Below are 26,236 nucleotides of genomic sequence, written 5' to 3'. Positions count from 1 at the left end.
GGAAGACTGAGGCAAGAGGATTGCTTTAGCCCAAGAGTTCAAGTCCAGCCTGGGCAACATAAAGTGACCCCCATTTCTTTAAAAAAAAAAAAAAAAAAGAGTTTTTAATAAAATAAATACTTTAGAAAATAAAAGCATCTATAATTCTAATATTCAATGCTAATGTGCTAGCTGCCAATGTGTTATGCTTAAAACATATTACATTTAAGATTGTTTAATTTTTAATAAAAATTTAAGAATACATACATGCAGATAAATGTAATACCTACATTCATACATACCTAAATAGACACACATTGAAAAATAAATTGCTCACCATTGCAAAATATTTCTCACCAACCATGTGCAACCATTGAGAATACCTTACTAACACATAAGTACTTCCAAAATCTCATGCTGGACACCAAGTGAAACAAGAAAATGACACTAGGCACTGTGGGGATCAGCATTCATGCCTTCCGATTGGAAGAATTTGGAAAGTCAATCTGCCTTTCTCCCACTTAAGTGTTTGCTCTGCTCACATTCTCCCCATGCTTTGAAGCAGTGTCCTTCTCCGATGTGAACACCACCACCACACACAAATTTCACAGCATAAGGATGCAGCTGCATTTTGTTTCAAGGACTTAGGTCAAGAGATGTAGGGAAGTCTTCCCTGGGGTTTGAAAAATGAGTTGTGAGAGTGAATGTATTGCAACTGCATTTTACTGTAGGCACTTTATCTCTCTCCTCCCCCATGAAAGAAGAGTAATAAAAAGGATCAGAAAGGCCCTGCTTCATTGCAGCCATAACCCTGTACCCACAACAGGCTGCTGAATGAAAACTAGGCACTCTCATCTGTGCCCAATCAGCAGTGAGTAACAGGAACTTTGGGACCCAGGACCTTCTGGAACAGCTGAAGACTGTCACCTTCAGGTAGAGGGCTGAAAGCAGTATGATTAATAGTATTACACTATTATGGGGAGTATTGTATTTGAAAGAGAATAAAGGGCATGCAAAAGCCTTTGAATAATCTGTCTCCCTTAGTGTCCTAAAATTTCCGTCTCATTGTAATTAAAAGAATCAAAGGAAGGTCTAGCATTAGAAAGAAAATCACCTCTAGTTTTGGCATACTATTTTCTATTTTAAGGTCTTTTTTGTTTTATTTTTAAGCCCTCTGTCCTACTTCCTTCGATCTTAATTTCCCTTAGTCTCTAGAGATGGGTTAATTTATGTAATTACAGCATATCTTCCATTACTTGTCATTCATAGGGGAAAAATCCATAGTTTTGTGTATATCCTGATTTGTGGATATAATCATGAAGAATTTTTATGGCAGTTCAGATCTAAAATTTAGCACTTTCAGGGAAAAACAATCTCTTCCAAGAAGGTGGTATACTTCATACTTAGTCCTCCATTGGGCACATGATGAAACTGATCCCAGATGCAGTTTTTGTTTCACTAAACACAAACTGAAAATGAACATGCTCTTTCATTTGGGAACAAAATTCAATTATAAAGAAACAGAAAATGCAATCTGAGATCAATAGCATATTACAGTGCCAGCATGTGGGATAATTTCAACTGAGTTTAATCTACTGAAATATGTGGCTATATACTGTTTATTTGCTTGTGCATTCCTACATAAGAAGTGACATTTAGTTTAGTTTTATTGGCATACAAAGGGCATATGTAAAATTGAGTAGTATTCAAAAGCATGATATAAAATTCAAAATCAACAAGCTAACAACCCGAGGCAAAAAAAGAAGTGTCTCAATGTGATATATAGATCCTCCTTAAAAATATAATTGGAATTTTAATATTCAATATTCTGATTTTAATGAACGTTTTATTTTTTAAAAGTTGATTGGCAAGAGTACAAAAATGCAGTAGGTCTCTGAGCTGGAAATTAAATTTAAAGATACATGTTTCAATGTTATACATTTGTTTTAAAGGTAGGAAACTTGTATAGATTATGTAATCCACTTCTACACTTTCATGGATGAGCAAACAGAGGTCCAGAGAGATTGAGTGACTTGCTTAAGGTCAATCAGTCAGTTCCTTGGAATAAGAAGTGTGTTCTTATAGCTGGTCAGTTGGGATAGGAAGCTCGCCGATTCGGAATGTCTCTAAGAGCACAGGCTGTGTAACTAGAATCTCAGTTTCTCCACTTACTAGCTAAGTGATCTTTTAAGGTTACCGAATCTCTTTGTCCTCAATGCCCATACTTGTAAAATAGGGATAATTATATTGCCTACCTTTTAGAGCTTCCGTGATGACTAAACAAGTTAATAGATGTAAAGCATTATGAACAGTGCCTGGCACAGCAATGTAAATGGCACCCCCAGAGTAGTGCAGTGTACAGCCTATGCAGCCCTTTACATCTATATATACAGCCAATGTACCAAAAGTATTGTGAATTGGATCCTGAAAGAACAAAAGGACATTAGCGGGAAAACAGTGACATCCAAATAAAGTCTAGGGCTTAATTAATAACAATGCACCAATGTTGTTTTTTGTTTTGAGACAGGGTCTCATTCTGTTGCCCCAGCTGGAGTACGCAAACACAATTCACTGCAGCCTCAACCTCTGGGGCTCAAGTGATCCTCCCACCTCAGCCTCCTGAGTAGCTGGGACTACAGGCACATGCCACCATGACCAGCTAATGTTTGTATTTTTTGTAGATACATGGTCTCCCTATTTTGCCCAGGCTGGTCTTGAACCCCTGGACTCAAGCGATCCTCCTACCTCGTCCTCCCAAAGTGCTGGGATTACAGGTGTGAGCCACCATGGCTAGCTTATTTTCTTAGTTTTCAAAAATGTACTATGATGATATACAACGTTAACTTTAGGGGAGACTGGGCAAGGGACATAAGAGGAATCATTCTACAACATATACATATAAGTAAACATCACATTGCACCATATAAATATATTGTTGTTATGTGTCAATTAAATCAAGAAAAAAAGAGAAAAAATGAGGAAAACGAAAACTTTATACTGTCTTTGAAACATTTCTGTAAATCTCAGATTATTCAAAAAAAAAAGTTTATTTTTAAAAATCTAATACAGATTCTAGTCAGCAAGGCATAGTGGTGCATGTCTACAGTCCCAGCTACTTGGGAGGCTGAGATGGGAAGATTGCTTGAACCCAGGAGTCAAATACCAGCCTGGATAATATAGACTCCATCTCTAAAAAAATTTATTTATTAATTGAAAAGCTAATATAGATTGTTTATGATAGTGTTACTTTGACTTTTACTTTTAGATATCTGGATTCAATCTGAATTTAACTCAGTAGGAAATTTTAATGATCTCATGTTATTTATTTTTCACTTAGGATCACAGGTGAGTCGAGACTGGACTCTTAAAGCAATGTAACAGTCAAGTAGATAATATGGTGTTCAGTAAAAGTTGATAAAGACTTTATCAGTTTTTTAAAATATTAATATCCAAATACTTGGTTTGCACAATAAAACATATATTGGTTAAGCACTAAATCCAATGGTCTCCTTTAAACGGTTACAAGACGCATGAAAAAAACCTGTGTCCATTTTCTTATCTGCGTATTCGTTTACATATTTTACCTAAAAGTATTTTGTTTGCTGTAAATAATTCAAACAACAGAGAGACCTAATGTTTCACTATTTAATAAATATCCTCTTCATGCAGCTTCATTTTCTTGTAAACTAACATAACGCCAGTTTTACAGCCTTCTCAGGAAATTTCTCCCTCCATGTCAATATTCACTTTGATCAGGTGCTAGTTTCCTATCAAATACATTCTTTTGGTGTTTATAAAATAAATTTAGTCTGTTCTTAGGACTCCATCGTTTTGATTTTATAAACAATGATAGAGGAAGTGAAATCTAGGTTTCTGATATCACCAATGTCCCTAGCTATTCAAATTTCTCTTACAAAAGATAAGATTTGAACAACAAAAAAATAAGAAAGCTATCTGGACCCCTAAATTCTTCAGTGTTCTAAAATTCGTTGAAATTTCTTCTAGATTTCTTCTATGTAATTTTCTTCTACGATAATAAACATTGGTGCAGTGTTTCCCAAAGGAGGCGAGATGGACCACCTGTTCAAGATCACCAGAGGAGCATACTGAAACTGCAGATTACCAACTTAGGCCCCAAATCTATTGGTTCAGAATACCTTATGTTACAGCCAGGAAATGTGCATTTTTAACAAGTTTTCTTCAACTCCCAACCTACTCCAAGTGATTCTTACCCACCCTAAATTTTGAGAACCCCTGTGGTTTGGTAAGTCTTAGTTGCAATCGTCAGTGCCTCCCATGCCTTGGTATAGATACAGTAGGATATCGCTAATAACATCGAACAAAGGACTTCTTTGAAATCCTTCACTAGCACTTGGAATGGGACAATAAACTTAAATTTATAGCAAATATAAATTTAATTAGGAGGAAAAGACATCTTGGGTGTTTTTATTTTTTAAATTTTATTGCATAGATTTTAGGGCTACAACATGTTTATGTATATGTGTGTGTATATATATATATATATATAATGAACACGCACATAGTAAATGGATTATTACAGTTTAGCAAATTATAATCTCAGTTACCTTTCTTTTCTCTTTTTTTTTTTTTGATGGTAAGAGTATCTAAAATTTATTCTTTTGGCAAATTACCAGTATATAATACAATATTATTAACTATAGTCCTCACGTTGTACATTTATTATTATTATTATTATTGAGACAGAGTCTCACTCTGTTGCCCAGGCTGGAGTCCAGCGGGGCAATCCTGGCTCACCGCAACCTCCGCCTTCCGGGTTCAAGCAATTCTCCTCTCTCAGCCCCCCAAGTAGGTGGGATTACAGGTGCCCACCACCACACCCAGCTAATTTTTGTATTTTTAGTAGAGACGGGGTTTCACCATGTTGTCCAGGCTGGTCATGAACTACTGATCTCAAGTGATTCGCCCACCTCAGCCTCCCAAAGTGCTGGGATTACAGGCATGAGCCACTGCACCTGGCCCTCATATTGTACATTAGACTCTAGATTTACTCGTTGGGCATAATTGTGACTTTGTATCCTTTGGCCTACACTTTCCTACCTCCCATCTCCCAGCTCCTGATACCACTGTCCTACTGTTTCTACATATTTCATTTTTTAAAAAAATTCCACATATAAATGAGATCATGCAGTATTTTTGTATTGTTTATTTCACCTCACATAACATCCTCTACATTCACCTATGTTGTCACAAATGGCAGCATCTCCTTTTTTAAGGCTGAATAATATTTCATTATATACCACAATTTCTTTATTCATCCATCAAAGGACACTTTAATTGTTTCCATATCTTGGCAATTGTGAATAATGCTGCAGTTAACATGAGACAGCAGCTAGCTACAGGAGCGGAGATTTTATTTCCTTGGGGGTATATTTCCAGAAGTGGGATTGCTGGATCATATTGTAGTTCTAGATTTAATTTCTGGAATTATAACAGTTCTATCATATTTTGGAGATATGGTAATTCTATATTTAGTTTTGGACTATGTAGGAAACCTCCATACCGTTTTCCACAGTGGCTGCACCAATCTACGTTCCCACCAACAGTGTACAAAGGTTCTCTTTTTTCCACTCCTTCCCCAACATTTGCTACCTCTTGTCTTTTTCATAATAACCATCCTAACAGATGTGAAGTAATATCTCATTGCAGTTCTGATTTGCATTTTCTTGATGATTAGTAATGTTGAGAACCTTTTCAGATACCTGTTGCTGTTTTTATGTCTCCTTTGGAAAAATTTATTAAGGTTCTTTGCCCATTTTTTAATCAGGTTATTCATTTTTTTTGCTATTGAGTTGTGTGAGTTCCTTATATATTTTGGATATTAGCCCCTTATTAGATGTATGGTTTGCAAATATTTTCACCCAATCTGTAGGCTACCTTTTCATTTTGATGATTGTTTCCTTTGCTGTGCAGAAGCTTTTTAGTTTGATGTAGTCCCTCTTGTTTATTTTTGCTTCTATTGCATGTGCTTTTGGAGCTATAAGCAAAAAATCATTGCCAAGGCCAAAGTCAAGGAGCTCTGCACCTATGTTTTCTTGTCGGGGTTTTGTAGTTTCAGGTCTTATGTGCAGGTCTTTAAGCCATTTTGAGGTTTTTGTTTTTGTTTTTTTGCATTCCTTAATATAAGGGTCTGATTTTATTATTTTGCCTGTGGATATTTTCTCCCAGCACCATTTACTGAAGAGACTAACCTTTCCCCATGCCATCTCATTGGTGCCATTGTCAAAAATTAGTTGACTGTATGCGTTTGGGTTTACTTCTGGACTCTCTATTCTCCATTGGTCTGTGTGTCTGTTTTTATGCCACTACCATACTGTTTTAATTACCATAGCTTTGTAGTCAATATTGAGAGCAGGTAATATAATGCCTCCCTCTTTTGTGGTTCCATATGAATTTTAGAATTTTTTTTTCTATTTCTATGAAAACTGTCATTGGATTTTGATAGGAATTGCATTATATCTACATATCACTTTGGGTAAATATGAACATTTTAACAACATTAATTCTTCCAATCCATGAACATGGAATATCTTTCCATTTATTTATGTTTCTTCCATTGTTATCAATGTTTTGTAGTTTTCTGTGTACAGATCTTTCACTTCTTTGTTTAAATTTATTTCTAAGTTTTTTATGCTATTGTAAATAAGATGGTTTTATCTCTTTTTCTGAGTTTATTATTAGTATTTAGAAATATCTCCTATGCCCTTGTCTAGACAGAGTATGGTTTCATAAGTTGGAGCATAGGAATTCTTTGAAAACATTCATTTTCTCCAATAACAGCAGAATACACTTATAAAATTTGCATTAAATAGAGATTTAATTAACCTAGGAAGAATAAAGATAGCATAGATTTTTGCATGAGTTCTTTCATTTTTCACTTTATATCCATATGGACCAACAGTATTCTTAGGTCCCCTGGAAATTTGTCTCTATAAATTGTCCAAAACACAAACTATGTTTCTTCACACTATCCCAAATTAGGGTGCCTTTTCACTCGTAGCCCTGTTCTTGTGTAGCTGTGAAATGAATGTTCTGTCTTTGGGAAATTACAGTCAATCTCTACTTCTTGGTAATTCACACAACATTAAAATAGAGCCTTATTATTAAAAAAAATCAATAACTTGTTCAGGATATCAGAAAGTCATAAAAGCTATGGAGAAAAACAAAGCAGGAAAAAAGGATAAGAAATGCCATATTAGGGGTGGAGATTGTAATTTTAAATAGGGTAGTCAAGGAAGGTCCTACTGAAAATGTGTCATTTGAGAAATAAAAACAAATACTGTGAGAGCTTGAATCATGCAGAAATTAGGGATGAGCTTTCCAGAAAGAAAGAGGAGCAAAGGCAAAAGCCCTGAGATCAGAATGTACCCAGTGTGTTTGAGAGACAGAAAACTGGTGCAGCTATGCAGAGTAAGAATGAGAAGTAGTAAAAGATGAGATAAAGAGGTGGGGGAGAGGGGCCATGAAGACTGTAAGAACTTATAGATCAGGATACAAACTTTAGTTTTTACTCTGAGGGACGTAGGTAGCCATTTGAGGGTTTTAAGCCGAGGAGAGACGTGACATAACTTACATTCAAAGCATCACTCTGGTTGAGCTAAGAATAGACTCTAGGGAGACAAAGATGAGAGACTAAAAACCGACAGTGGTAGTGGAGGTAGTGAGACAGAGCTGGATTCTAGGATTTGCTGATGGCTTTCATATAGATTGTCAGAGAAAAGGAGGAATCAATGATGACTCCAAGGCTCTTTGGCCTGAGCAACCATAGGATGTAGCTATCATCAGCTGAGAAGGGGAAGGTTCTGTTTGTACATGTTACATTTGAGATACGTATTACATATCCAAGTGGAGTTGTTGAGTAGGCAATTCACTATAGGAGGTAAAAGTTCAGAAGACCCATTTTCAGGCTGGATATAAAAATTTGGGAGATGTCCACATAGAAATAATAAAATAATATTAAAAACCATGAAACTGAATGAGAACACAAAAGGAGTAAGTGTAGACAAAATAGAGAAAACATTCCAGGACTGAACTCTTAGAGCTTCCAATATTGAGAAGTTGGAAAGATGAGGAGGTGCCAATAACAGAGACTGGGAAGTGGAAGCCAGTCAAGGAAGAGAAAAAAGAAAAGTGATTGCCTGTGTTAAGTGCTGATGAGTCAAGACAGAGGAAGATGAAGAATTATCCATTTTATTTAGCAATATGGAAGTCATTAGTTACCTTCATAAGAGTAGTTTCAGTGGAATGATTGGGGTGAAAGCCTATTGTAGTAAGTTTTAAAAGAACTTGAAGAATGATATTGGAGGTATTTGAGAAGTTTTGCTATAAAGAAAACACAGATATGGGAATGAAGAAGAATGAGATTGTATTGAGAGAACTTGTTTTCGATGGTCAGAGATAAGCCATGTTTGTTTTATGATGGAATAATTGGTAACAAGAAAAAAATTGATTACTCAAAAGAGAGGTGAGAATAGTTGTAATAGGTAAGAGGAGATAGGATCTAAGGTCCTAGTAGAAGAGTTGCCTTTGGATGAATCAGACAGCTCCTCTAATGTCTCAGATGTGAAGACAGAGTATATGGTCACAGAAATTTATAAGTAAATAGATGTAGCGATGAAAACTTGTGGAAATTCCCTTCAGATTACTTCAATTTTCTTAGAGAAAAAGGAAGCCAGCTCAGCTGAGAGTGAGGACTTGGGGAGTGGGGATAAGCACAGCAGATTCACTAGCAAATTCTCAAATTTATACTATTAATGAAATGTGCAAAAAAAAAATTCTATTTTATTTTCTATAACTCCATTTAATATCCTTCTCAATATTCTACCCTATTTGGAAGGAAGTGAGAGGACAAGGACTTATCTCAAAATGGCCAATTGATAGCTCCAGTTTAAACAACCTCTGTAATGTAAAATATTTAGTCAACTCAAAGTTTAGCTCAATTTCAGAGTTGTACTTTTCATCCTCCTCTTCCCAAGCTGACATCTGGGTATAGGGGAAAGCTTACAGAATTCAAGGGATTTTCCCTTCCATGTAGCCTGCCATCCTTGTGCTGGTCTCTACTGTGAGGTGGCTGGTGCAATCCTTAGATATGCCATTGTTTTACAAAGGAATATAAGGTCTGTTATCTTTGCTCAGTAATGGCCTGCTGACACTTCACCTCCACCCCATCCAACTGTCACTGATTCAACCCCTAGTTAAATCTTACTTCCTGTGCAGCTATCTTCATGGAGTTTAGAGGTGACTCCCATTGAATGTCTGGCCTCACCAACTACTGCAGCAAACCACTTTGGGCAAATTCCCAGCAACACCCCCTCCAAACACAGCTGGACTCTCAGAGCCAGGTACGTTGCCTCAGATTCATCTTTGTAGCCACCTTCATCTACCATTGCCATGTATTACTTCACATGTTGACACAGAGCCACCCTAAGTGACAACTTCATATGAACATTCCAAAAGAAAAGTTCAACAAAAGCTACTCTATTTTTGGCTTTCTTGCAAACTTGTTAGCCTGGAGAAGGGAAGTCAGAAACCTATGTCTGATTAATTCTTTTTCACATATTCTGAGACCAGAAGGAACAGGCTTTTTAACTTTCCTTCTGTCAAGGTCTTCCAGAGTATCAAATCTTCCTTCTTTTGGGTGCTAAGCCTAACTGCTCAGCCTAAATGATAGAATGATATCTTTGCTATAATATAAAAGCAAATATGTGAGTCCTCTTGGCAGGATTCTAAACACAGCCTTGGATCAACTTGGAACTAGGGATTACTAAAAATGAAATGTATTAGTTTAATAGTCCTAAGGTATTATCCTTTCCACACCAACAACTAGACACATAATCAGTGCTTTCTAGTTTCTCTGTGTAATTTGGAGAATTGAAAATACCTAACTTTCCACCATAGCGTGACATTAAAAGGGTGATTTTTTTCAAACCAGTATTTCATTCTATGATAGTTTTAGTTATACATGTTTTGTTGTTATCATTGTGTTTTCACTTTAATTCTGCACTGAGGTGATTTCCCAAGGGGTACAATTTTAAAAAATCAAACCAATCAATAAACACGCTTTTACTACCATCTAAACTCTAAACCCAAAATATTATACCAACTGATTATCTTGGGGTTATTTATGCAATCCCTTTTAAAGGTCACTTCTCTAAATTGAAGGCTTTCTATCACACTGGCATTGCCTGTGTTTTGCTCATCATTGTTTAACCTGTAATAAACTGTTTTCCTCTTGGGAGAGGAAAAGCTCATTAATTCACATTAATACACACAGATTTGACAGCCAGTGCTGTTAGGCCTTCAATGCTTATTAATACTTATATACCACAACCTTACTGAGAACTTGTCTTCTTATCTAATAATGCATTGAAAGCATTATATGAAAGCATAGCTTCACCAAACATGCTTGAGAGTTAACATTATATGTAATGGATCAAAAATGTTTACTTTATTGATTGTTCCTCTTCAAGGTTTAGTAATTTCTTAATTACATAGAGTTGATTATGATAGAGGAAGTCAATTCACTTGAGCTAAATGTTTTTTTGTGACATGAGAACATAGATGTTTTTGGCCTAAACTACAAATATATTGAAGGTTAGATAAAATTGTAAGGTAGTAATATTCATGTTTTACAATGGACAAACAAGTATTAAATTCTATAGCAGGAGAAACTTAATGATATTTAGTCGATAACATCCCAAAATTGTATATTTCATTGTAGTTTTATGTTACATTAGTAGAACTTTTCTGCTAATAAAATTATTTTGTGTTTTTATTTCATGCTGAACACAAAAAGTTTGGAAAACATTTTCTAATCACCAATTGAAGATAAACACATGATAATTAAAATTTTATTAAGTTTCCATCTTCTTCAAAATGCTCTAAAAAAACATTAAAATAACTGGTAGTCTTTGTCCTCAGATGCTAACAATTTCTTGTTTTCTGGAACCAGTGATTCCTACTCAATGAAAGTACATCTTTCACTGTTCTGGATTCTACTTAATCTGAGCAGATATTCGGTGAATACATACTAAATACAACCACTACCACACTGGGTGATGAAAGGGATAGGCTTTTTAAAATTTCCTTTCAGTTCTCTAAGAAGCTTATGGCTCAACTACAGAGAAGCTGACACACATTTAACAGTTAAATAATAATCTAATGAATTTCCATTTGAATGTCCTAGCTGTCCTAATAGAACTCATAAAATGGTTTTAAAAATATTTAAGCTGTATTTAAAAGTGACCTGTGGGAAAGCCCTAGCATACAAACACAGAAAACCAGGTAGGTTTTAGTTAAGCAGCTGCCTACAGAGCCAACTTGAAAGCTACCACTGGGAGGAGCACGTCAAACCTAGACCTAGATTTGAATCAAACTCTACTCCTTACTACCTGTACGGCTTAGGGCAAGCTGCTTAACTGCACTAAGTCTCAATGTCCTTGGTTGTAAAATGGGAACAATTATACCTAGGTTGCTTAATGGATAGTAAAAATTTTCCATGAAGTGTCTGACATAAATGGTAGGTGCTCACTAATACATAGCTTAAAAGAGTCCATAAAGAAGAAGGGCTTGAAGGATGGATGCAAAAAAAAAAAATAAGGCATTCTGAATAAAGGGGTTATAAACAAATTCTCAGAAGCAATTTGATCGTGGCATATCTAGAGTGACTGTTAGAGTGAGCAAAAGATTATATTAGAACTAGTGAAAAATAAACTGGAATATACAAGGTAGGGCCATATGTTAAAGGGTTTTGAATTTTAGGTTGAATTTTATCCTTTCCAGTAGTTCTCAAATGTTAGTGTGCATCGGAATCACTTATGCTGCCTTCTAAAAATGCTGATTCCCAGAATCCATGCCCAGAGATTTGATTTAGGTGATGTGGGATGGCCACCTCTGGCAAATATCACAAGTGATCCTGATGCTGCAATTCATGCATGACGTACTACACTTTACCAAGTGAAATACTAAACTAGGTTTATTCTTCATTGAATAACATATAGGAAAAAAAAAGTTATAATTTAAGATCTGTCTTCCAGCTATGTCTAGAATGAATTAAGCATATAGAAAATAAGTTAAACAGCATTATATTAATCTATTCATAAAATTATCAGGAACTGCAAGACAGTCAAAATCATAGTGGAACATGAATGGCAGATATGAAACATATTTCTAGACTAGAACTAGAAGGACTCTGATTAATTAAGAAAATGAAGGCAATACAAAATCCTAAAAACAACCCCAAAATTTCAAACCTAGAAGACTGGGTAAACAGAATGAAAGAAATTGGTAAGAGACACTGATTTGCAAAGAAAAGATGATTGAGTTCCATTCCCAGTATGTGTAGCTTAGGATGGCAGCAGGACTGCCCAACGGACATAAATGTTCATTAGGAGTACTAGAATTCTGAGTCTTGAGGGAGAATATGAGACTAATAATAAAAGATTTAAACATCAACACAAAAAGAAATGTTTAAAGCCCTTAGAATGAATCGTTTCTTCAAGGAGGAAAATAAAAATGAGAAAAGCAGAGGGTCAAAGGAAAAGAAAAATTGTTAAGGAGACCAACAAGCAATTTAAAGAATGTGAACAAAACATGTTCAAATTGACTAATTTTGTATTTATTCTCTCTAAAAACTTTTTAAAAAATAAATTTAGAAAAAAATTGTGATTTTTTTTAAAGAATCCACGTATATTTTATTCAGCACAAATGCAGGTGATACTTCCCCACAAAACTTATAAATTAACAACTGGGACTCTAAACTCATAATTTTCTGAATCATCCACAACTAGCTACTGTATGGAATCCATTCTACAACAGCAGAGGAGAACTTTAATTTGAAGCAGCAAGTTTCCATGCATTACTACAAATGTCCTCTTTTCATTCTCTGATACATACAGTCAAACTGCCTATGAAGCAAATTTCAATTCACCTTATGCTTTAATTGCTAAGAAACGCACTTGGGAAACCAACATTATTCTTAAGACTATAAATGATCCTATCTCTTTATTATATTTTCTCCCATGAAATTTTAAACTCTTAATGTAGTTATATTTAACATGAGTATAAATTGAGTTTTGAAATTACTGTCTTTCAGATTCATCCAGCAGTTTAGAATGTTCATACTTGTTTTATGTCTTGAGGAAAACAAAAACCTAATCTCTAATCTAGAATATTCTGGCAATCTGTATTAAAAGTTAAATTTATAATTTTATAACAAAGTAATATGGTAAAATATGGAATGTCCAAATATAGCAAAGTAATATGGTAAAATATGTAATGTCCAAACATTACATTTTTTTAAAATTCCCCAATGTATGTAAATACAAAGTTTATTCCCAATATACATTTTATAGAGGTGTGTTTTCATTTTTTGAAGCAGAGTTCAATGGGCATTTAAAGCCGGCAGTATCGCATCTTCAAATCTCTCTCTGAATCTGATCTGACTCCCCTGCCTCCCCCTTTCCCATATTAAGACCCTTGTGATCACACTGGGACAACCCAGATAATCCAGAATAATCTCTCCACCTCAAGATCCTTAATTTGATCACACCTGCAAAGTCCCTTGTGCCAAGATAACATATACATATTCTTAGGTTCCATTGTTCTGTCTACCACACTGACTAGTTGTCTACAAACCTTTTCACAGACATTTCCAGGAGATGCATTTTTTATCAGAAGTTTTAGAATCTGATTGCATATGGAGGGTGCAATATCTAGAGACCTAAAGATAGCTAGCGTTACAAGTCAAAAAAAAAAAAAAAAAAACTTTTGTTAAAACAGCCAACAGGAGCCTATTACTTGTGGACCTCATATGTTCAATTGATAGATGTGTTATTCTTTCCATTAACACTGTAACAGTTAAACCTCAAGGAAATGTAGGAGAGCAATATTTCAACAGAGGTGAAAATGGTGGGAAACTTTTTTAGTTGTCAAAATAATTGGGAGGAATACTAGTGGCATTTAAAGGGTGGGGGCCAGACATGCCAGATATACTGCAATATGATCACTAGGACTATACACTTAAAAATGAAATGGCAATTTGCCTGATTTCTGCAAGTGAAAACTTATTTATAATTACTTGGGCCTGGAACCTAACTCCACTTCACATGTAAATACAAAGTATGTCTGGCATTCTTTATGCAGTAACCATATATGTGGTACCATGTAATCAAGGGAAAAATGTATTTGTTCTACCCAGAACTTAGCAAAGAGTTTCTCAATATTTTGGAAAAAATGTCACCATCAATTATGCTCCTTCAATGTATAATACAATACAATGTGCATTATTAACTATTGCATTCAACATGCTTTCTATGTATAGACACACATCATTTGGCCAGGCACGGTGGCTCACGCCTGTAATCCCAGCACTTTGGGAGGCCAAGGTTGGGCAGATCACCTGAGGTAGGGAGTTTGACACCAGCCTGACCAACGTGGAGAAACCCTCTCTCTACTAAAAATACAAAATTAGCTAGGCGTGGTGGCACATGCCTGTAATCCCAGCTACTTGGGAGGCTGAGGCAGGAGAATTGCTTGAAACCAGGAGGTGGAGGTTGTGGTGAGCCGAGATCATGCCATTGCACTCCAGCCTGGGCAACGAGAGAGAAACTCCATCTCAAAAAAAAAAAAAAAAAAAAAAAAAAGATACACATCATTATGTCTTCAAGTGTAATTGTAATTGTGCTCATGGATTTACAAACTGGAATGTATTTATTGTTTTATTTTTATTCCTTTTTTATTTTACAACTAGGGCATTACATTTATTTTCCTAAATTTTTGCATGTAGGTAGGTTAAATTATCTAAGAATTCCGTGTTAAGATTATAAAGGAGAAATAATAACATATTTGTTATACAAAGGGAGGCTTGGGACTGTGCTGGATTTTCAGGGCTATAGCTAGCCTTGATCCTCTCTGTGGTATTGATTTTACGTGGTCTTTGAAAATTACAGATGCTACTTACTGCAGTCACCAAATAAATATGAAGATTGCATTTGCCACTTTTATACTTCAAACAATTTAGTTGGCTGCTTAGAGCTTTAGACTGTTAGACCATGTCTAACAGTCCACAACTTGTCCCTCTACTAGGCCCCAGGGACTTTCCTCCAACACTACTCAGTCTATAATTAAAGGATATGAGAACATTAAGTGATATTATTTTATTACACTAGTAATATAGGGTAATAACAAAATAGGTCCCAATTTTAAAAAAACAGAAACAGAAGTATTATGATGCCAGTTATCTAGAAAACTAAAAGAATTATTTGGTTTGTGTAAAAAGTGTATTTAATCTCAATAAGATATACGCTATGGCCATACAAAGGGGGTTAGATGTGGAATGTTATGCAGTAGGTGACGGTAAAAGAAACAATGATTTACTCTCTTTTTTAAAAAAGTGAATTAATATTTTATATTCTTATCTCCAAATGTGAGGAAATAATTTTCAACCTCTCAGAGAATTTCTGAATTATGTATTCAGTGTTTAGAGGGAAAGATGTTTCCTTTAAAAGGAAATATACTGGATAACCCTAGGTAAGAGAAGATACACACATAATCTAAATGTATGTGGGCTTTTATATAGCCTATTTCTCCTTATCAAACTTATCAAAAAATGGTAATTCAGAAGCCTTGAAAAACAGATATTTACTGTAGTTTTCCTGACAAGTACAACACAGACTAAGTTGGTTTTTTGTTTGTTTGTTTGTTTGTTTGTTTGTTTGAGACGGAGTCTAGCTTTGTCGCCCAGGCTGGAGGGCAGTGGCATGATCTTGGCTCTTCTAACTTCCGCCTCCCAGGTTCAAGCGATTCTCCTGCCTCAGATTCCCAGGTAGCTGGGATTACAGGCACCCGCCACCGCACCTGACTAATTTTTGTATTTTTTAGTAGAGACAGGGTTTCACTATGTTGGTCAAGCTGGTCTCAAACTCCTGACCTCAAGTGATCAGCCCCCCAAAGTTCTGGGATTACAGGCATGAGCCACCGCACCCAGCCAAAGTTGTATATAGCACACATCATATAGAAAGTTGCCTAAAATGCCTCTTGACATTTCTCTCTCCTCCCAAAATGTCACACTTATAGCATTGTTTTCTTCATTAGTCTCTGTATCTTTTCAAATTATTACCCTTCTTACCAGGCTCTTAGGATAAGGTTTTTGCACCTGAGGATGATTGCTTTTCTTAAGAGACCAGCTTACCAAGAATTCTGCCAAATAAAATGCATCTCAAATTTCAAAATTAAGCTTTATTTATCACACACCCCAATTGGTCTGAAAGTCTTTTGCTTCTACTCCTTAACTGTGTCTCATGAACCATCCTACTCAGATGCTCTGGGCCCTTCTGTACCTAATCAGTTTATAATACAACTTGTATCATCTCAAATCAGGAGCCAGACCAGAAGTTCCTAAATCTGAGATTTTCTATGGTGTCTGAGTCATTAGAGTTATTACCAGAGTCTATTTGCATAGGCTATTCTGTGCGTGTTTTCTTCATCTTCAAGCAGTTTTTTTTTGTTTTTCCTATGAACCCTAGACCTAATTTACCACTTCTAAAATCCTTCCAAGATGGACTTTTAACTTCTTCAGGAGCTAGCTACATTGAAACAAGTTAGGAAGCTTTCATTTTAACATTCCCTTTTCATAAGACATTATCTTTTTATTCCTTCACTTTAGACTATTTCAATACTCACTTTTTCTTTGTGTTTTGTTATTGTTGTTGTTGTTGACAGGATCTCACTGTGTCACTCAGGCTGGAGTGCAGTGGTGTGACTATGGCTCACTGCAGCCTTGAACTCCTGGGTTCAAGCCATCCTCTGCCTCAGCCTTCCCAGTAGCTGTGACTACAGGCACATGCCACCATGCCTAATTTATTTTATTTTATTTTTTTGTAGAGACAGGGTCTTGTTATATTAAGTAGGCTTTCTTCATCCTGGCCTCAAGTGATCCTCCTACCTTTCTTTAAAAAAAAAACAAACAAAAAAAACAAATCTATTAAAAACAACTACAGCTACTAATTTGTCAAGGGACACAAACCATAAAATATACAAAACATGTCAACAAAACAAACTGAGAGGGGGGAGTAAAAGAGTTGAGTTTGTGCAAGTGATCAAAGTTAAGTTATTATCAGCTTAAAACAGCCTGTTATTAGTATAAAATGTTTTATGCAAGCCTAATGATAACTACAAAGCAAAAACCTATAGTAGATATACACAGGATAAAAATAAAGAATTCAAAGCACACCATTACCAGTGTAAGGTATCCTAGTTACCATGGGCAAAATCTGTACAGGTCTGCAGCAACCTCAATTCCTGCCTCCTCAGGAAAGAATTCGACTGAGGGGCATAAGACAGAAAAAGAGACTGAGGGCCGGACACGGTGGCTCACGCCTGTAATACCAGGACTTTGGGAGTCTGGGGTGGGTTGATCACGAAGTCAGGAGTTCGAGACCAGCCTGGCCAACATGGTGAAACCCCATCTCTACTAAAAAAAAAAAAAGAAATACAAAGCTGGGCATGGTGCATGCCTGTAATCCCAGCTACTCAGAAAGCTGAAGCAGGAAAATCACTTGCACCCAGGAGGTAGAGGTTGCAGTGAGCTGAGATAATGCCACTGCACTCCAGCCTGGGCAACAGAGCAAGACTCCATCTCAAAAAAAAAAGAAAAAGAGACTGAGGCAAGTTTCAGAACAGGAGTGGAAGTTTATTTAAAAAGCTTTAGAGCAGGAAAGAAAGGAAAGTACACTCGGAAGAGACCCAAGCAGGCACCGAGAAGGTCAAATGCAGCATTTAACCTTGATCCTAGGAGTTTACAGGCTGGCCCACCTCCGGCGTCTTGCAACCTTTTTCCTTGATTCTTCCCTTAGGATGGGCTGCCTGCATGCACAGTGCCCTCCTTATGCTTGGGAAGTGTGCATGTACAGTGTGTTCAGGAAGTTGTACACATGCTCATCTGAGGCTTTCTTCCCTTTTCCAGTGGAGTGACCCTGGAAGGTCATACTCAGCCATTTTGTCACTGAATGCATGTGCCCAGGCTCACTAGCCCAATACCTGAGATTTTATTGGAAGCCCTTTTTGCTTCTCCCTGGTGTCTGCATTCAATTAACACTTTAATGTTAACAGCTTGTGGACCATTAGGAGATTGTCTGTTCCTGGTGCCAGCTGCCAAATTATCATTGTGATAACTGTCAGTCGAACCATCACCTGACATTCCTAGTGGGTGGGGGAGAGCCCTCTTCTGCCCCACTAATGCCTGTCTAACTTGTAATAATACCACTATGGAAAATTATCAAACCACAAAGGATGACAGCAACAGAGGAAGAGAGAAACAAAGGGTCTACAAATTAACTAGAAAACAATTAACAAAATGGCAATAGTAAGACCTCACCTATGAATAATTACTTTGAATGTAAATGGATTAAATTTTCCAATCAAAAGACACAGAGTGGCTGAACGAATAAAAAAACAAGACTTATCTATATGTTGCCTACAAGTGACTCACTTCACCTTTAAGGACTCACAAAGACTGAAAGTAAAGGGATGGAAAAAAGATATTTCACACAAATAAAAACCAAAAGAGAATATGGACAAAATAGACTTTAAATCAAAACTGTAAAACAGACAAAAAAGATCATTATAGGGTCAATTCATCAAGCAGATATAACAATTATAAATATACATGCATCCAACATTACAGCACCTAAATATATAAAGCAAATATTACAATATCTGCAGAAAGAGGCAGACAAGAAAATATTGGACTTGAATTACAATTTATACCAAATGGACCTAACAGACATTTACAAAACGTTTTATCCAACAATTGCAGAATATTCTTCTCATCACCACATAGAACATTCTCCAGGATAGATTATTAGTTAGGTCACAGAACAAGTCTTAACAAATGTATAAAGACTGAAATCATATCAAATATCTTTTCTAGCCACAATGGCATGAAACTAGATAATAATAACAGGAGGAATCTTGGAAAATTCACAAGTATGTGAAAATTAAACAGCATGCTCCTTAACTACCAATGAGTCAAAGAAGAAATTAAAAAGGAAATTTAAAAATATCTTGAGACAAACAAAAATGGAAATACAACATACCAAAGCTTACAAAATGCAGCAAAAGCAGTCCTGAAAGTTTATAGCAATAAAAACCTACGCCAAAATAGGAGAAATATCTCAAACAACCTAATGGGAGAGGCTTCAAGATGTCTGATCAGAGGCATCTACTCGACTCCTCCGCTAAGAAGAACAAAACTAGTCAGTAGTCACACATCAAATAGATCATCCAGGAAAGAACACTGGAATTCAACAGAGAAGTGACAGGAAACACCTAAAGCAAGGAAAAAGAGGGAAGCGCGACAGCCTCCTTGGTGGAGACTGAGATTGGCTATGAGCCAGGAGAGACTCCCCAAGCTTGGAAAAAGATAAGTGAGGGAGCCCCAGCAACCCACATTCCCAAAAGGATTCCTATAATCCTAGCCTCAGGAGAGCCCCTCAACATTCACTAGCCCTGAGGCTAACAAAAGAAGCTCCCTAGAAACTGCACAAAGGCACAGCTCCAGAGAGCACACACTGGATCCCACAAAACCCTGAATCCTAAGCAGTGGCAGCACAGCACCACTTTAAGAGCCTACTCCACACTGGACTGCATACTACCCTACAGCTGGGGTGAGGAGAGAGTCACCAGCAGCAAACCTACCCCACTGCAGAGGGTTTGTCAAGCATTCTCACACACCCTCAAGGACAAATTCCACTGTCTGCAACTGCCACAGCTGCACCAGCAAAGCCCATGCCTCCTAGCTGCCTGCCTAAGACTGCTACCTGCCTAAGTCCTCCCCAGTAGCAGGGGCACAGCACAGCCACTGTGACTTCCAATTGAGCATTCTGCTGGGGGGTCTAGGGTCCATTCCACCACTGCATACCACCGCTAGCATCTATATGCACTACTTGACGATCTAAGAGCACAGCCCAGCCTGGATCCAACCCCCGACTCCAGTACCTGAGCACACTGTCCAAAGCCCTGGGGAATGCCCAGCCAAGTCCACTACCAGTGGCACACCTGAGCACCCCTCATGGGATCTGAGGTCAGGTCCACTCAACCTGCCACTACCACCAAACACACACACCACCCAGATTCATAAAGAAAACATTATGAGATCTAAAGTGATAAACTCCAATATAATAATAGTGGGGACTATCAGCATTAGACAGACAATTTAGATAGAAACTAAGCAAATTAACATTGGATTTAAAGTGGACTTTAGACAAAATGAACCTAATAGACATTTACAGAACATTTTTTTCCAACAACTGCAAAATAAATATTCTTCTAATCAGAACATGAAACATTCTCCAGAACAGACCATATGTTAGGCCACAAAACAAGCCTCAACAAATTTTAGAAAGTCAAAATCATATTAGGTATCTTCTCAGACTACAGTGGAATAAAACTTGGAATCAATACCAAGAGGGACTTTGAAAGCTATCCAAATTCATGGAAATTAAACAACATGGTCCTGAGAAATGATGGGGTCAATGATGAAATTAAGATAAATATTTTAAAATTTCTTGAAACAGAAATTTTTTGAAAAAGAGAATATAGCATATCAAAACTTGTATTTTACAGAAAAACAGTGCCAAGAGGGAAGTTTATAGTAATAAATGCCTACACCAAAAAAATAGAAAGATTTTAAATAAATAACAATGCACTGCAAGGAACCAGAAAAGCAGAAACGAGCCAATCCCAAAGTCAGCAGCAAAAGAGAAACAAAAAATATCAGATCTGAACTAAACAAAATGAAGACTAAAAAAGCAATACAAAGCATCAATGAAATGAAAAGTTTGTTTTTGGAAAAGTTAAGTAAAATTGATAAATCACTAGTTAGACTAACCAAAAAAAGAACACAGTAGATCCACATAAACAAAATCAGAAATGAAAAAGGAGTCATTACAACTGATACTACAGAAATATGGAACATCATCCTAGACTATTAAGAATAACTATATGCTAACAAATTGAAAAATCTAAAGAAAATGGATAATTTCTGGAAGCATACAACCTACCAAGCATTAATTAGGAAGAAATAAAAAACCTGAACAGACAATAATGAGTAGCAAGATTGAATCAGTAATAAAAGGTCTCTCAACAAAGAAAAGCCCAGGACCAGGTGGATTCACTACTGAATTAAAGAAAAATTAATACCAATCCTCTTCAAACTATTTCAAAAAATTGAAGATGAGGAAATCTCCCTAACTCATTCCATGAGACCAGCATTACCTGATACCAAATCAAAGACACAGCAAAGAAAACTATACACTAATATCCCTGATGAACAGACACAAAAATCCTCAACAGTACATCAAAAAGATCATTCAGTATGATCAACTGGAAATTCTATCAGGGATGCAAGGATGGTTCAACATATGCAAATAAATGTGATACATCAAATCAACAGAATGAAGCACAAAAACCACATGATCATTTCAATAGATGCAAAAAAAAAGCATTTGACAAAGTTCAACATCCATTAATATTGAAAACTCTCACAAAAAACAAAAGGTATGGAAGGAATATACCTCAACACAATAAAGGCCATGTATGACAAGCCCACAGCTAACATCATACTCAATGGTGAAAAGTTGAAAGCTTTTCCTCCAAGATCAGAAACAAAACAAAGAAGCCTATTCTCACCATTTCTATTCAACAAAGTACTGGAAGTCCTAGCCAGAGCAATTAGGCAAGAAAAAGAAATAAAAGGCATCCATATACGAAAGGAGTGATATCATCTCCATTGATGACATGATTTAATATTAAGAAAGCACTATAGATTTCACCAATAAACTGCTAGAACTGATAAGTTCAGTAAAGTTTGCACATTACAAATTCAACATACAAACATCAGTAGCATTTCTATACACTAACAGTGAACTATCTTAAAAAGGAAATCAAGATAACAATCCCATTTATAAGAGCATCAAAAAAAGAACTTAGGAATAAATTAAGAGTCAGTTGATTTTTCACAAAAGGACCAAGAACACATAATGGAAAAGGACGGTCTCTTCAACAAATAGTGTTGGGAAAACTGCATAATCACAAGCAGAAGAATGAAATTGGAACCTTAACTCATACCATATATAAAAATCAACTAAAAACATATAAGATTTCAACTTTAAACCTACTAGAAGAAACACAGGGTCTCAACACATGAAAATCAATTAGTATGATTTACCACATTACCAGAATAAAATATTTTTACCATATGATCATCTCAAAAGACGCAGAAAAAGCATTTAACTAAGTTCAACACGGTTTCAGAGACACACTCTCAACAAACTAGAAATAAAAGAAAAATACCTAAACACAATAAAGGCTGTGTATGAAAAGCCCACAGCTAACATCATACACAACTGTGAAAAAAATAAAAGCTTTTCCTCTAAAATCAGGAACAAAACAAGAATGCCCACTCTCACCACTTCTATTTAACATAATACTGAAAGTCCTAGACAGTGCAATTCAAAAACAAAACAAAATATAAAAGGCATCTGAATTGGAAAGAAGTAAAAATATCCCTGTTTGCTAACAACATGATCTTATATAGAAAACCCCAGGCTGGGCACAGTGGTTCACATCTGTAATCTCAGCACTTGGGAGGCCAAGACGGGAGGATCACTTGAGTTTAAGAGTTCAAAATCAGCCTTGTCAACATAGTGAGACCTTGCCTCTACAAAAGAAAAATTTTTAAATTAGCCAGGTATGGTGGCACATACCTGTGGTCCCAGGTGCTTGAAACGCTGAGGCAGGAGGATCACTTGAGCTCAAGAGTTCAAGGTTTCAGTGAGCTATGATCGCACCACTGCACTCCAACTCAGGTGAGAGAACAAGATCCTATCTCTAAAATAAAAAAGAAAACCACAAATACTTAAAAATATATACTATAAATAACAAATGAATTCAGTTAAGTTGCAGGATACAAAACCAACATACAAAAATAAGTTGCCTTTCTATACACTAACAACAAACTACCTGAAAAGGAAATTATGAAAGCAATCTCATTTACAAAAGTACTGAAAAGAATAAAATACTTTGAAATAAGAATAAACCTAGGGAAAAAAGAGGTGAAAGATTTATATACTAAAAACTACAAAACATTGCTGAAAGAAATTAAACAAAAGACAACAAATGTAAATACATCCTGTGTTGCTGAATTGGAAAACTTACTATTGTTCAAATGTCTATACTACTCAAAGCAATTTTCAGATTCAATGCAATCCCTTCAAAATTTCAAAGACATGTTTTACAGAAATAGAAAAAAGGTTATATACTTCATATAGAACAAAAGATTATGAACCAAATCAATCCTGACAAAGAACAAAGCTAGAGGCACTGCATTTCCTGATTTCAAAATATTTTATGAAGCTACAGTAATCAAAAAACAGTATGGTACATGGTACTGGCATAAGGACAGCCATATAGACCAATGGAAAAATAGAGAACTCCAAAGTAAACCTACACATATATGATCACTGACCTTTGGCAAGGATGCAAAGAATACATGTTGGAACAATGATAGTCTTTTTCAACAAATGTGGTGAGGAAAACTGAATATTCACATGTACAAGAATAAAATTGAGCCCTTATCTTACCCTGTATACAAAATCAACTCAAAATGGATTAAAGACTTAAACCTAAGACCTGAAACTATAAAACTCCTAGAAGAAAACATGGGATCAGGACTCCTTGACTTTGGTCTTGGTGGTGATTTTATGGATGTGAACCCAAAAGCAAAATAAATAAGTAGGACTATATCAAACTAAAAATCTTCTGCACAGCAAAAGAAACACTGACAGAGTGAAAACGCAACCTACACAATGGGAGAAAATATTCATGAAAACAACATATCTGATAAGTGCTAATCCCCAGAATGTACAAGGAATTAATAGAGCTCAAAGCAAAAAAACTAATATAAGCCAACAACAACAACAAAAAAATGGGCTAAGGGCTTGACTAGACATTTCTCCTGAGAAGACTTCAGCTTTTCCAGTTTAGAAAGGATAGCGGAAGTAGCGTATCTATTGTAGCTAACATTTGAGCACAAAGACCAGAGGAATGGGAGATTTTCCTTAAGAATGCTTATATATTATATTTCCATCACTGAAGAGCGATTTTTGAAGCTAGTGGTCTTCTAGTATACAGTAAGGTCAACTTATTTTGAAACACAAAAGCACAATAGAGAATTAGCTTCCATCAATATACGTACTATACTGAATACAGCTGGCTTGAGGAAACTTCTTTTTAAGAACATTCTATGAGTGACTGCTAAATCCTATTTCTGATCTTTCTACATGTTGGCCCAAAAGTTTTCCTTTGTCATATTCTCCTATAGCTATAATTTAACCATCACTGATTGGAGCAGTTCTACTGTTCCAAGCTGAAATTCATTGCCTCAGATGGAGGTAGGTCTTACTGAGACACTATTTCATACAAATTTAGAAGACAGTTATGTACTGATGATCAATTAATAAATCTCATGTGCTGTTACTGCTTGAGGCAGCCAAATTGGAATGCTGTAAAAAAATACCCATATTTTTTAAAATACTGAAACATGGGCTTAGAGACAATTATCTTTTTATTCTTCACTAAATTTTCAGCAACGTTAGTTTTAACAAGGACTTGGTTTGTGGGAAGAAAGAGGAAAAAAGAGAAAAATGTAAATGGAGGGTTAGGATTTGCTTCAGAGAAAATTTAGGCTTGGCTTTGCTACAAATAATGTATCATTTTTCCATAAACGAATTAAATAACTTTAAATTTATTTAATTGGTCCAGATCACATTAATCTTGATTTCCTGGGAAAAATACATACATATTAATGCTGAAATATAGTATAAAAGTCTTCTTGAACTGTCAAAATTCAGTGTCTGATATTAAGGATATAAATTACTCAGCTCTACTGCCATGAGGTCAGGAGATCAAGACCATCCTGGCTAACACGGTGAAACCCCGCATCTACTAAAAATACAAAAAAAAATTAGCCAGGTGTGGTGGCAGGCACCTGTAGTCCCAGCTACTCGGGAGGCTGAGGCAGGAGAATGGTGTGAACCCAGGAGGCAGAGCTTGCAGTGAGCCAAGATTGCACCACTGCACTCCAGCCTGGGCGACAGAGCGAGGCTCTGTCTCAAAAAAAAAAAAAAAACTTTGAAAAAGAAAAATATTTTTAGAAAAATGTTTTAAGAAAAATGTTTTGAAAAAGTATTTATGCCTGTTCATTACACTCAAAAAACATTTCTGATCCTTTCTGATAAAAGTAAATATGTATAATAGGGCTGAAACCAAGCCTTAAGAAAGGTGGAAAGGAAAACAAAAAGTAAAGGAAAAGCTGTCAATCTTCCTAAAATCTTAAATACAGCAACTGATTTTTATATCAGATTTTCCAGCTTCTGTATTTAAATTTAACTCTAGTTGTTCCTGGGCAAGATGACTGAATAGCAACAGCTCCCATCTGCAGCTCCCTGCGAGAACAACACAGAAGGCGGGTGATTTCTGCATTTCCAACTGAGGTACCCGGTTCATCTCACTGGGACTGGTTAGACAGTGGGTGTAGCCCATGGAGGGCAAGCAGAAACAGGGTGGGGCGTCACCTCACCCGGGAAGTGCAAGGGTCCAGGGACCTCCCTCACCTAGTCAAGGGACTGTGCTATCCAACCCAGATACTACAGTTTTCCCACAGTTTTTACAAACTGCAGACCAGGAGATTCCCTCATATGTCTATACCACCAGGGCCCTGGGTTTCAAGCACAAAACTGGGTGCCTGTTTGGGCAGACACTGAGCTAGCTGCAGGGGTTTATTTTTCGTACCCCAGGAGCGCCTGAAACCCCAGCGAGACAGAATCGTTCACACCCCCGGAAAGGGGGCTGAAGCCAAGGAGCCAAGTGGTCTCACTCAGCAGGTCCCACTCCCACTCTTAGCTTGCTGGGTTCCAGCAAGCTAAGAACCACTGGCTTGAAATTGTGGCTGCCAGCTCAGCAGTCTGAAACTGACCTGAGATGCTTGAGCTTGGTGGGGGTTGGGAAGTCTGCCATTACTGAGGCTTGAGTAGGCGGTTTTCCCCACACAGTGTTAAGGAAGCAACCGGGAAGTTCAGACTGTGTGGAATTCACCCCAGCACAGAAAAGCGACTGTGGCCAGACTTCCTCTTTAGATTCCTCCTCACTGGGCAGGGCATCT

The 26,236-nt window shown here is 36.5% G+C and overlaps 1 long non-coding RNA gene across 1 annotated transcript in view; it reads right to left on the bottom strand.

Annotated features, from left to right (window-relative positions):
* LOC124906103 (uncharacterized) overlaps window positions 1-26,236 on the bottom strand; it is a 41,076-nt gene that overhangs the window by 9,953 nt on the left and 4,887 nt on the right. Inside the window, exon 2 of the long non-coding RNA XR_007087332.1 lies at window positions 1-26,236. This exon is cut by the window's left edge and continues 9,953 nt beyond it. This is a non-coding gene — a long non-coding RNA (uncharacterized LOC124906103).

The sequence above is a fragment of the Homo sapiens genome, chromosome 2 (assembly GCF_000001405.40).
Source record: "Homo sapiens chromosome 2, GRCh38.p14 Primary Assembly".
Taxonomy (NCBI): domain Eukaryota; kingdom Metazoa; phylum Chordata; class Mammalia; order Primates; family Hominidae; genus Homo; species Homo sapiens.
The sequence above is the reverse complement of the archived record's forward strand: the minus strand, read 5'-3'. Positions and strand labels throughout refer to the sequence as shown.